Source organism: Homo sapiens, chromosome 1, assembly GCF_000001405.40.
Source record: "Homo sapiens chromosome 1, GRCh38.p14 Primary Assembly".
Lineage (NCBI taxonomy): Eukaryota > Metazoa > Chordata > Mammalia > Primates > Hominidae > Homo > Homo sapiens.
The window spans coordinates 220,588,435-220,600,810 of NC_000001.11; the positions used below are offsets into that span (position 1 = coordinate 220,588,435).

The following is a 12,376-nucleotide window of genomic DNA, read 5'->3' on the forward strand; positions in this document are numbered from 1 at the left end:
TTGGCTGCAAGTTATCAAGTTTATAAAGAAATACTGAATAATTATTTTACTGTTGTAGTTATAAATCATCTAATATATATTCATTTAATTATATTCAGATCTCTTTCTGTGCTACGATTTCATAGGAAGACCTTAAGAAGTTAGCTTAAATTGTTATAGTGCTGCTAGCAATAATTTTACAAAATACTTGACATCCCAATGAGATGTCTAAAAGCTAAAAAGGAAATGACATGATGATCCTAGAATTTAAAAAGCTGAAAGTTTAATCTGTAGGATTCTGTTAACATAGATAAAATATATATATACATAATCCCTCAATAAATGGCACTTATGAGATAGTCTAGACAAGGACCTAGCAGTCTCTTGGAACTGCATGTCACCTTCAGGGTAAAACCACACCCACACTTCATATTAATAGGCCAGTAAACTGTCAAATATACAGACAGAAGTTTTATAAAGATTGCAGTGAAGACAAAGAAGGGTTCCTATCCCTCCTGAAACCCAAATCAGAGCAAAATCCTTGAAAGGTGAAGAAGGCTATGTTGTAAGGCACAAGAACTGTATGCCAGCCTTCTACTAGCCCAGTTTACTGTGACTCTGAAGACAGCCTGAAAGAACTCTCTCAGGAGGAACAAGCTGAACCACTGCCTTTGTCAAGCTCCCAATGACCACAATGTGCTCCTTCTGCCTCAAGATCAAGCAAGCGATGGCGAAGTCCTGTGACATTGATGAGACCAAGGGCAACTTCGTCAGACTGGTGAGCAGGTCTGATGGAGAGAAAACCATGTGCATTTGGCCCCTGACTATGACACTTTGGGTGTAACTAGAATGACGATTGTCTAAGCCATGTCCAGTTGGCTAGTTCTAAAAATGACAGACTTTTTCATCATCACAAAAAGAGTGCTAGCAGAGGAATGGAAGAGATAGGAAGGAACAAAGAGCAGTTGAGAAGAGAAAAGGAAAATGCACATAATTGAGGGAAATATTGATTGACACTAATGGAGTTTGGCTAACCCTGACCTAAGCTCTAGCCAGGAAAGACCCAATTGAAAAGTAAATATCTCCAAAGAATTGAAGATTGTTTACTACTTTAGTTATCTGGAACAAAGCCAAGAACCAAGAAGGAAACAAAGACCTCTGAACAACTAGAATAGCTGTGATATAGAAGACATATCTCAGGCCTTCACTCCTGGCTTATTTTCCTAATTTAACACACAAGTCTAGCAAACTCTGGCCTTAATTTCCAGCCTACAGCAAACCTGAAACAGTAAATTTGAAGGGGAATAGTAAATTCAGAGCTCTTTTACTAAATTTACATTTGCTAGCAACATTGTGTGACATCACAGTTTGAAAATGAGAAAGAAAAAGAACTGAAAATTAACATCAGAAACTCAAATAGTAGCATGGCACTGCTGTTCTTAAAATTACCTCTATTTTTTATACTTGTACCTGGAGTGTATGACACATGCAATAATTAACTTTTTAAAGAATAACTCTGTTTCAAAGTAAACTTCTTTTCATAGTCTAAATGCCTACTCAGCTCTCTCCACTGACCCAAAGAAGTGTGAAGATTGGCACCTTGCTGATGAGGATCTGCTCTGGGTTAAAAGATCACATATGTATATGTGGCTCTTCCTCTCCCTCTCCCTGCTTCCTTTTGCCTCATGCAGCTCATGCAGAAAACTCTGCCATTAGCTTCGGTCTCTTTCTTTCATGCAGCCAGCTGGAAAATAAAGAGTTAGGCAGGGGTTTAGGGGAGTCTTGGAGAGGAAGAGATATCTTAGACATTTGCTTAAGATGTGGTACTTTTCAATTGGCCAAAATTCTCTAGATTTGGAGGGTTATCATATTAGTCTGCTAGTCGGGCCATCACAAAATACCACAGACTGGGTGACTTAACAGAAATTTTCTCACCTTTCTAGAGTCTGGAAATTCAAGATGAAGGTGTGTAGGCAGGTTTGGTTTCTCCTGAGTTCTCTCTCCTTGGCCTGCACATGACTAGTTCATCCCTGACATTTCTCCCTCTTTTTAGGACACCAGTCATATTGGATTGGAACCCCACTCTTCTGACCTTATTTAACCTTCATTAGCTCCTTGAATTCCCTGTCTCCAAGTATAGTCACACTGGGCATTAGGGATTCAACATATGAATTTAGGGGGGCACAGTTCATTTCATAACAGGGATCCAAATCCAGCTGACAATTCAAGTGTTTCTTTGTGAGGAGAGATGCTTGATGGAATAGGAATCTGGTATTCCATTATCCTTACTCAATATACCATGTAAAACATCCTAATGTTCCTTCTTACAGCAACCATTCTTCGACAACTGCCTATCATTTTTAGTCAACACACACCCAAACCCACGCACATCTTCTTGTTATCGCTTATGTTTTTTTCTCTCTCCTTGTCCAAAGCTGCTGAAGGAGAGGAAACTAAGGATTAAACAATATACTCAAGACATCTTTGAGATATAGGAACCCAATGGCTGTGTATTGTTGTTTTATTGGAATTAAAAATTCCAGTTAAAGTTCTGATTAGAACTTTGGCCCTGCCTACACGTCTTTTTCTTGCTTCTTCAGATGGAAGTGGAGTGACCTTCTGTTTAGGTGTTGTTTTTGTTATGGATGCCCCAGTTTTCACAAAATGATTTTAATCCTGTCCCTCAGCTCATGTCTGTTCTTTGTAGAACGGAATAACTGCATTCCAGGTACCAGTCAGGGATTGAATTTATGAACTAATTGCAGTCAAAAACCCAACTTAAGAAATAATTAAATAAAAAAACACCCCAATACTTTTGGAGGAATTCCTGAAGAATTTGCTGCCAGTCTATTTCTTTAGATTAGTTGTTCTGAAACATGGAGCTGCCAGGAAACATCAGTATGTTTCTGTTAGTTTTGAGATATGTCCCAGCCGATTCTAAGAGAAAACTACCAAATTTGCCAGTAATTTCATAAAAAGTAACTGGAGTAAATTCAAGATTATTCATATGACAGTGTTGTCTTCAGTATACTGTAATTTGATGTACTTTGTCAAGACAAGAGAAAGAAGAGGAGTTAGAACCCAGAAACCAGCATGGCTTATTCATGTTGTAGCTTAATGGGCCACACTTCCTAGTACACAGGAAATGCCTGTGCCAATTAGAGAGTACAAGTAAAAGCCCTCTTTCATAGTGCAGTAAGGAGCTGTTAATTGAAAAAAGCAGGTTAAAGTGAGGAATTATTAAAAGTTATATAAACATTTAACACTTCTATTGTACACACAAATGTATATGCATTGATGAATCTTTTCATGTAGGGCCAAAGCTTTTTATTTATTTATTTATTTTTTGAGTTTGGTTCTGCCAATTGTCATTCTGCTTTATTTACCTTGTACAGATCACACTCATAAGCTCATAATACCCTTCCTACTATTTCCAGTTTTGTTTTGTTTTAATTAATGAGAGAATTGAATGACACTCGGGCAGCAATCAGAGCAGAAGCCTAGATTTTATTCCAGTCTTTTGCATTTATCTTGCCCACACCTAGCTGGACAGCAGTCTAGCAGCTTTTATCTAGTATTTCCAAAGTATTCAATTTGGTTTGTTTTGTCAAACAACAAACATGTACTTCATTGGTTTATGTAAAATTTGTATTGGACAGACTTTGAGGCAACCCCCATGATTCTTGCCTTCTGATGTTCACACTTTTGCATAATCCCTTCCCCTTGATTGTGAACAGGACCTATGACTTGCTTCTAACCAATGCAATAGGGAAAAGGTGATGGAATTTCACTGTCATGATTATATCATATTATATTATATTATATTATATTATATTATATTATATTATATTATATTATACTATCTTGCTAGCAGACTTGCTCTAGAGACTATACTTGCTGGCTTAAGAAAGTAAATAGCCATGTTGGAGAAGTCCACTTGGCAAGGACCTATGTACAGTCTCTAAGAGGTAAGGGTGGCCCCTAGCTGACAGCCACCAAGAAGCCAGGGTCCTCAGTACTAACAGCTAAAAAGAAATGAATTCTGCCAGTAACCTGGGTTAGCTCAGAAGTAGATTCCTCCCTAGTCAAGTATCCAGATGAGAACCATCCTGGACAACACGTTGATTGCAGCCTTACGAGACCTGAGCAGAAGACCCAGTTAAGTCAGGCTTGGAATACTGAGCCGCAGAAACTGCAAAGCGACAAATGTATGTTGTAAATTGCTAGGGTATGGTACTTTGTTACTCATCAATAGGAAATTAATATATAAACTATTTCCAGTGGTAACTGCAACTGGCAAACATGTTTGGGACCTAGATAACCTCTGGTAAGCATGATTCTCAACTGCTTGGAGTGTAAGGCTGCAGGGAGCACCACTAGCCAAGAGCATTATGGGTGCACAGATGTCACTCACTGTGTGTTGCAGAGGGAATGCAGAGCAAAGGTTGGCAGGTTAGTTAGTAGAGGCCAGTTACAAAGATGTCTGATATACTGAAATGCTGAGTTGTGATTTTTTAAGTCATTTCCTACAGCTTAACAAATAAATAAAATTTTAACAAGAAAGCAAGAATAGATGAAGAAAGTAGAAGCAGTAATTCATTTAGATATTCTATATGAGTGTAGGAGAGCAAGACTGATGCCAGGGACTTTTCTGTTAGAGATATATAATAGCAATAATACAAATAAATTACAAATGAAACATAATAATGCTACTTATATTAATAACAAGTTCATAAACTTTAAAATCTATATCTTATAGCAAAACCAAAATAAGTACTGTTTGTATTTATTCTTTATAATATGTTCTCGGAGGCTTGGGGAACACTATTTTTAAAAAATTATGTTCAATTTTTAAAATTACCTCAGTTACACTTAAGCATTTTTTCTTATAAAATGACTTCTAAATGTTTAAATGGCTGATTTTACTACTCAGTGCTCATAAAATGATTTTATGAAAGTCATCAAATAATAAGCTACCGTATTTGACTTGACTTTCTGGAAAAAATTACTTGGTTACATTAAAACCTAGAATCATCAGATTTGTGAATTTTGGTTTTATAGCTATATGTGAATCTTGTCTGCTCATATTACTTGTGAATTTTATCTGCTCATGTGCCACAGTAAGAAAAAAAATAGGTTGAAATAAGAAGCCTAGATCCTCTGCAAATCTAACCCACAGAGCCCCACCCCTACTGTCAGCCTGGGAGTCTCTGGGCAGTGGTCACCTGATGAGGTGCCCCCTTGTTTCTCTTTGGGGTTCTCAGGGAGGTGAGTCTGGGGCGGGTTAGGTAGGCAGAGAGGAGGCTCAGGTGGAGTCAGAAGCCAAGGTAAAAACCCTGAATGTGTTCTGAGGGGACTACCTGCTCAGACCAAGGGACCCCATGGAGCTCCATTTCTGTTGTCAGTCCTGGGTAGGCCCAGGCAGGGGTGGCATCCTTTCTGTGTCAGAGTGAGAGGCCCCCTCAGCCCTCACTCTGGATAATCACCCAGATTCCAGGCACATTCTCCTCTGCTGACCTGAGGGCACGCCACTCAGACCAAGGCCCACACCTCCCTGAGACCCCTGAGGAGGAATTGAGGGAATATGACTTCTGGCTCCCTCTGCCCAGGACCTCCAGGACTGCCCACGGTAAGGACCCTTTCTCTGATGTGACAAATTAGAATCAACAAGATATTTAATGAACATTCTACATTTCCTACTGTCCACAGGCATCTGGTATTGTTGAGGATTGGAGCAGGCTTCTCAAAAATTGGCTTGAAAAGGCTTGAAAATGAACAACTTGATTAACACATAGGTGAAGGATCTGAACAGACACCTCATCAAAGAAATTATATAGATGGCAAATAAGCATATGAAAAGATACTCCACATCATATGTCATCAGAGAAATGATAATTAAAACAATAGTGAGATACTGCTACATACCTATTAGAATAGCAGAAGTCCAAAACACAGCACCAAATGCTGGCAAGTTTGTGGAGCAACAGGAACTCTCATTTGTTGCTGGCGGAAATGCAAATGGTACAGCCACTTTAGAAGAGAGTTTGGCAGTTTCTTACAAAACTACACATATCTTACCATATGATCCAGCAGTTGCATTCCTTGGTATTTACCCAAGGAAGCTGAAAACTTACGTCCACACAGAAACTTGCACATGGATGTTTATATAGCAGCTTTAGTCATAATGGTCATAACTTGGAAGCAACCAAGACGTCCTTCAGTAGGTGAATGGATGAATAACCAATGGTACATCCAGACAGCAGAATATAATTTAGCACTAAAGGGAAATGAGCTATCAAGCTACGAAAAAACTTGGAGGAACCTTAAATGTGTATTACTATGTAAAAGCCAATCTGAAAAGGCTACATGCTGTATGATTTCAAGTATGTGACATTCTGGAAAAGGCAAAACTGGTGACAATAAAAAGATCAATGGTTGCCAGAGGTTAGGGAAAAGGGAGGGATGAACAGGTGGAACACATTTTTCAGAGCAGTGTTAGTATTAGTCTATGTAATACTAAAATGATGGGTACATGTCTAAACCCATAGAATGTATAGTAGTAGCAAGAGTGAACAGTAATGTAAATGTGAACTTCCAGTGATAATGATGTGTAGCTCCATCGATTATAACAAATGTACCTCTCTGGTTTGGGATGTTGATGGTGGGGGAGGCTCTGCATATGTGGGGACAGGGAGTATATGGAAACTGTTTGTACTTCCTGCTCAATTTTGCTGTGAACCTAAAACTGCTATAAAAATAAAGTCTATTATGTTTATGTGTATCATAGATATGTATATGTATGTATGTATATGTATATAAAATGACTTCTGGTGCTACTTTGACTTTTCCTGGTTCACATACCTGAGTAAGGCAATTTGGTCAGTGAATGCAGCTGTCCCTCTGTGGGTCAGATGCTCAGTTTTGACAAGCAATCAGTAGCACGCTAATAGCTAATAGCTTTTTAAAACCTGTTAGCCCTGTTTGGGAGGTGAAGAGTTCAAAACTCTGAGGAACGCTTCTGAGTGAAGGCTGACTCCCATTGTCCAAGGCTGCAATAGCAAAATCATCAGTTACAGTGACTTGGAGCTCAAAGGGGCCATTAGGACTGTGGAGCACAAAGGTAGAGCAGACGAGGCTCAGAGTAGGCACTTGAGAGTCATGAGATAAGGCTAGAGAGGTAAATAGGATCTTGATTTTTTTCTAGAGTCTGGTAGCCAGTGTTCAAGATTAGGGGTTTAGTTCTAATAGCATTGAGAAACCACCAGTGGATGTTAAGTAGTAGATAACGGATTGGAGGATGGGAGGATAGAAAAGATGTGTGGATAACAGGTTGGAGGATGGGAAGGTAGAAAAGAGAGTCAGAATGGTTGTACCAAGACCAGTGAGATTCAGTGTGACAGTAGTGTCAATATGGATGGGTAGACGTTGATGGATTTGAGATAAACTGTGGAGGTGAGTAAAAATGTCTTAATGATGCATCGATGTAGAAATTTCAAGAGATGGTGTTGTTAAGGATGATCCTAAAGTTTCAGTTATTAGGGTGCTTGACAGACATATGGAGCTGGGGAAAACCAGTATCAAATTTGATGTGAGAAATCAAGTATTGGGTTTGAATTTCTGTGAGACAGCCAAGTGAAAATATTGAGTAGGTATATATGGATTGGATATAAATGTTGGGATGATAAAGTTAAATTTAGTAGTCAGCAACAAATCGATGATATTTGAAGCCATGATAAATCATTAGGAGAAACATGTAGAGTGAGAAGATAAAGGGGGCTAAGGGCTGAACCCTGAGGACCTCCATGTTTAAAGGTTGAGTAGAAGGGGAGAGGTTTAGTGGAAGACTGAGAGGGGTCATTTAGGCAGGAGGATGGTCAGGAAGATGTACTGTCAGAGCCAGAGCAAGAGATGATCTCAAGTGTACTGAAGACCCTGTGTACTGAGAGGTTAACCCGTATGCTCTTTGTCCCAAATTTGAAATGAAAATGTGTTTCAAAGTTACAGAAAGTACTTGTCTTGAACATGAATGAATCCACCTTTATATTTTATTTACTGATAGGTAATTTTTAATTATTAAAGTTGTAAGTATCATGGACTTTATAAAAATTTATTTATATGAATATACATATGCACACATACAGACTCCCTGGGTTTATGTAGGAATTATTGAGAATAGCTAGGGAAAGCAAGCTTTTTTGTAGGAGGTAAGCCTTAAGTCATTTTGTTTTAATTGGGGTGAACATTTATTGATTCATTTTTGCACATTTTATTTCTTTCCTTAAATTGTGGTAAAATATACCTAACAAAACTTACCATTTTAACCATTTTAAGTATACAATTCAGTGGCATTAAGGTGCATTTACATTGTTGTTCAAACATCACCATCAATCTCCAGAATGTTTTTCGTCTTCCAAAACAGAAACTCTGTACTCATTAAACAGTAACCCGCCCAGTGCCCCATCCTTCCAGCCCCTGGCAACCATCATTCTACTTTACATCTCTATGAATTTGACGACTCCACTCTAGGTACCTTATATAAGCATAATCATACAGTGTTTGCCCTTTTGTGACTGGCTTATTTCAGTTAGCCTAATGTTCTTAAGGTTTATCCATGTTGTATCTATCATGTGTCAGAATTTCCTTCCTTTTTAAGGCTGAATAATATTCCATTGTTTGTATAGACCACATTTTGTTTATCTCTTCATCTGTTGATAGACTCTGGTTGCGGGGCTATTGTGAATAATGCTACTATGAACATGGGTGTACTAGTATCTGCTTGAGTCTCTGCTTTCAATTCTTTGGGTATATGACATATACCCAGAAGTAGAATTACTAAATCATATGGTAATTCTGTTTTTAATTTCTTTAGGAACTGCTATGTATTTTTTTTCATGGAGGCTTTATCGTTTGTCATTCCCATCAATACTGCAGAACTGTTCCAGTCTCTCCACATCCCCGCCAACATTTGCTATTTTCTGGGCAGAGTTGGGGGTTGTTTTTTGATAGCAGTCATCCTAATAGGTGTGAGGTGGTACCTCTTTGTGGCTTTGATTTATATTTCCATAATGATTAATAATGTTCAACATCTTTTTGTGTTCTTTTGACTATTGTGTATCTTTGCTGCAGAAATGTCACCTCTGAAAGTAGTAACTTTAGATTTTATTCTGATAAAATGCATATGTCTTAATATACTTTCAGAATATCACCAATTTTTGGTTCTCCTATTTTCTTGAACAAATTGCTTTATTTGGAAGCTAACATATACTCAAAGACATAGAGAAAATAATACCAAATTATGCTTTTGAAAAATGTGCCCTGTATTGTTTAAAAAGTAAAATGAAAAGGAGGAAAATTTTAACATTTGTGTTTCAAGTCGCTTCTTGTCATTTTGTTTTTATATAAATTAGTAAATGTGTTTTTATTGTTCTTTAATGTTATTCTACAAATCTACCTAAAAACCTTACTGAATCTTTCATTAAAATGTCTGATCAGTCAGAAGAGATGACTTTAAAGAGTCAAACCCCTAAGGAAGGTGGTTTCTGGGTAAAAATCATATGAAGGAGCATTTAGTTTCATTTTCAGTGTTTTTCTTCTGTAGCTTTTCATAAGGAATGGTTAAATAATTGTAAGTTTTACTGTGTATAGTGTATTCACACCACAGACACACACAGATCATTTGAGTTCATCTACTTAAAATTCTTTTAGAAACCAAGTCACAGCGAAGTTAATGTCACAGTCTAAGTTAACATAGCTTGTTTGTACAGAGTTGGGACTGAGAAAATATCTTGTTTCAATGCATTGCCAGAATCCTGTAGCATTTTGTAAGCAGATTAATTTCTTCAAATAAATATTTTAATTGGCTCTCTGCTTGCTTGTTTTTTTTTAACAGAAATATATCTACCTGTTTTCTTTAACAGTTATTTCGAGAAGTACGAATAATGAAGATACTGAATCATCCTAATATAGGTATGAAATATATATATATTATATATATATATATATATAATTAGCGATGAAGTGTTTTCCTTAATTTGAGGGTATTTGAAAAGACACAATGTTTAAGGATAGTTTATTTAAGCAGAAGAAAAGTGATAACCTGAGTGATAACCCCAGGAAGTGATACTTTGGGTAAAAATAGATTACAAAGAAGCTAACTGGAGGCTACAGATTGCTGTTTTCTGCTACCTTGCTATCTTCTGCTCTCCACTAAAATAATTGATATCATTCAGAATTAATGCATACAATTTTTTTTAATTTCCTAATTAAATGTTTCTAAATTTAAAAAAAAATGTCTTTCTGGCCGGGCGTGGTGGCTTATGCCTGTAATCCCAGCACTTTGGGAGGCTGAGGCAGGTGGATTGCCCGAGTTCAGGAGTTTGAGACCACCCTGGGCAACACGGCAAAAAAATACAAAAATTAGCCAGGAGTGATGGTGCGCACCTGTAGGCCCAGCTACTCAGGAGGATGAGGTGGGAGGATTGCTTGAGCCTGGGAGGTGGAGGTTGCAGCGAGCCAAGATCGCACCACTGCACTCCAGCCTAGACAACAGAGTGAGACCCTGTCTCAAAAAAAAGTCTCTAAATAGATATTGCAGGTCATTTAGGTATCTATAAAAAAAAAATGGCTTTCAGATATTTTGATACTATGCACTTGGGTTTGATCATAGGTTTACAGGCAAAATAACTTTGCGTTTTAAAGAAAATAAAAAGTTGATTTCAATTTTAGTAAAATTTTTCAGTAAGTTCTGATTTCTCCCCCTTTGCAAATAAACGTATTGATTAGATATATTATTATATGAAATCATTTGATTGTGACAAGTAAAATTCTTTTTAAAATCTGTTTTTTAAAACACTTTTTTTTGCACATTTAAAAATCTTATCTGTATATAGTTGTTAAAGTATTTATTTGTGGTGAATATTTGAACTACATAAATTTGATAATTTGGTAATTTTTCTAACCAGAAACTTTCATAATATCACAGAAATACAGAAATTCTTTTGTTTCTGTACCAAAGATTATTTAGCATTTTTTGATGTCTCACTGTAATGTAACATAGTCTCTTTTTAAACTTCAGTTTAAATTCTGTTTTTCTGATTTTAAGAGTTCCTTTTATTACCTTATTCTAATTTGAAAAAGTAATGACCTTTTAATCCTAGAAACTTAACTTTTTCAACTCAAGAAGTTGGTTCTAAATCACTTTGTGGTAAGTAGTTTTCTGTCATAGGAGTAATAATCTTTGAGAGACTTTTTGAACTTAAAATTGTGATTAATAATGTTTAGCAAGTAGTCAAATTTTCTACTAGTTTAGTGTTACCTTAGATTTTCTTAAAGCATATTCAATCTGTGCTAACAGTTATAGAGTTATATCTCTAATTTTTTTTCAGTAAAATTGTTTGAAGTTATTGAAACAGAGAAGACTCTCTATTTAGTCATGGAATACGCGAGTGGGGGTAAGAATGAGGGTGATTGAAAAGTTCTCTTTGCTGAGACATACAGAAATGTTAACACCTAAGAGTTCATTATGACATTTATGTCTTCAGTGTTAATGAATCTATTGTTTTATCTAAATGCCTTTAAATTACATCTTAAGGAAAATTCAGTGTTTACTTTTAAGACCTTTCGATCTTACATTATAAATGGAATTTTTGGCTTATTTACATTTTACTTAGGGACATTTTTTGAAACGTTAAATTTGTATTTTCATCTTATAAATGTATTGATTCTCTTATCTAAATTTTACTATATCATATCATGATTAGAAACTCTTGGCTATCAGCAGGGAATCTCAAGTACAGAATGTATTTAATAAAATCTATAATAAAAGCTTGTTCTAGGTCAGTGTTTATTTCACTGATTGTTCACATATGACAGATTCTCAATATACATACATTTCCAAGATAATTCATAAAGTGAATTAAATATTTCAATTTAAACAAGTATTGATCTGTACATTTTATATGTTAGAGGACTGAGTTGACAGGGAGATAGCAAGATGCATTTGTAGTAGAATATCACATATGTTTTAACTATCATGGTGTCAAAAATAGGAATGATTTTGAAACACTGATATGTGATAGAAAATCATCTTCATCTCCTGCACTTTCCCTTAAACGAGAAATGTGTCAGCTCAGAATCACTTTTCTTTTAGACTTAGGACTTCACTTTCTCAGAAATGGGTTGAAAATTTATGGAATTAATCATTTAATAAGTAAAAATAAAGAATACTTAAAGGGAGGTTTTAAGGGCTCAGGATTTAAGCAACTGAAGAAGAAAGAAGGCAGCTGAAATTATTTGGCTGGTTGATTTTTTGCTAATCAATAGAAAAACTTAGTGTTGAACTTACTATTGAGCTCTTTTAGTTAATGAAATTTATAATTTTTATGGTGATTCAGATTTT

General features: G+C 36.2%; 1 protein-coding gene across 11 annotated transcripts in view; it reads left to right on the top strand.

Annotated features, from left to right (window-relative positions):
• The window catches only part of MARK1 (microtubule affinity regulating kinase 1), a 136,326-nt gene that overhangs the window by 60,299 nt on the left and 63,651 nt on the right, over nucleotides 1-12,376 (top strand). For 8 of the 11 annotated variants that reach the window (XM_017001305.3, NM_001286124.2, XM_005273134.6 and 5 more), the window contains 2 exons: nucleotides 9,897-9,945; nucleotides 11,364-11,429. In XM_017001305.3, the coding sequence (XP_016856794.1) occupies nucleotides 9,918-9,945; nucleotides 11,364-11,429 (94 nt within the window). In that variant the 5' untranslated portion in view covers nucleotides 9,897-9,917. Of the gene's footprint in view, nucleotides 1-5,469; nucleotides 5,609-9,868; nucleotides 9,946-11,363; nucleotides 11,430-12,376 lie in introns of all 11 variants that reach the window. The other 3 variants (XM_006711326.5, XM_011509562.4, NM_001286128.2) reach the window with 3 other exon arrangements.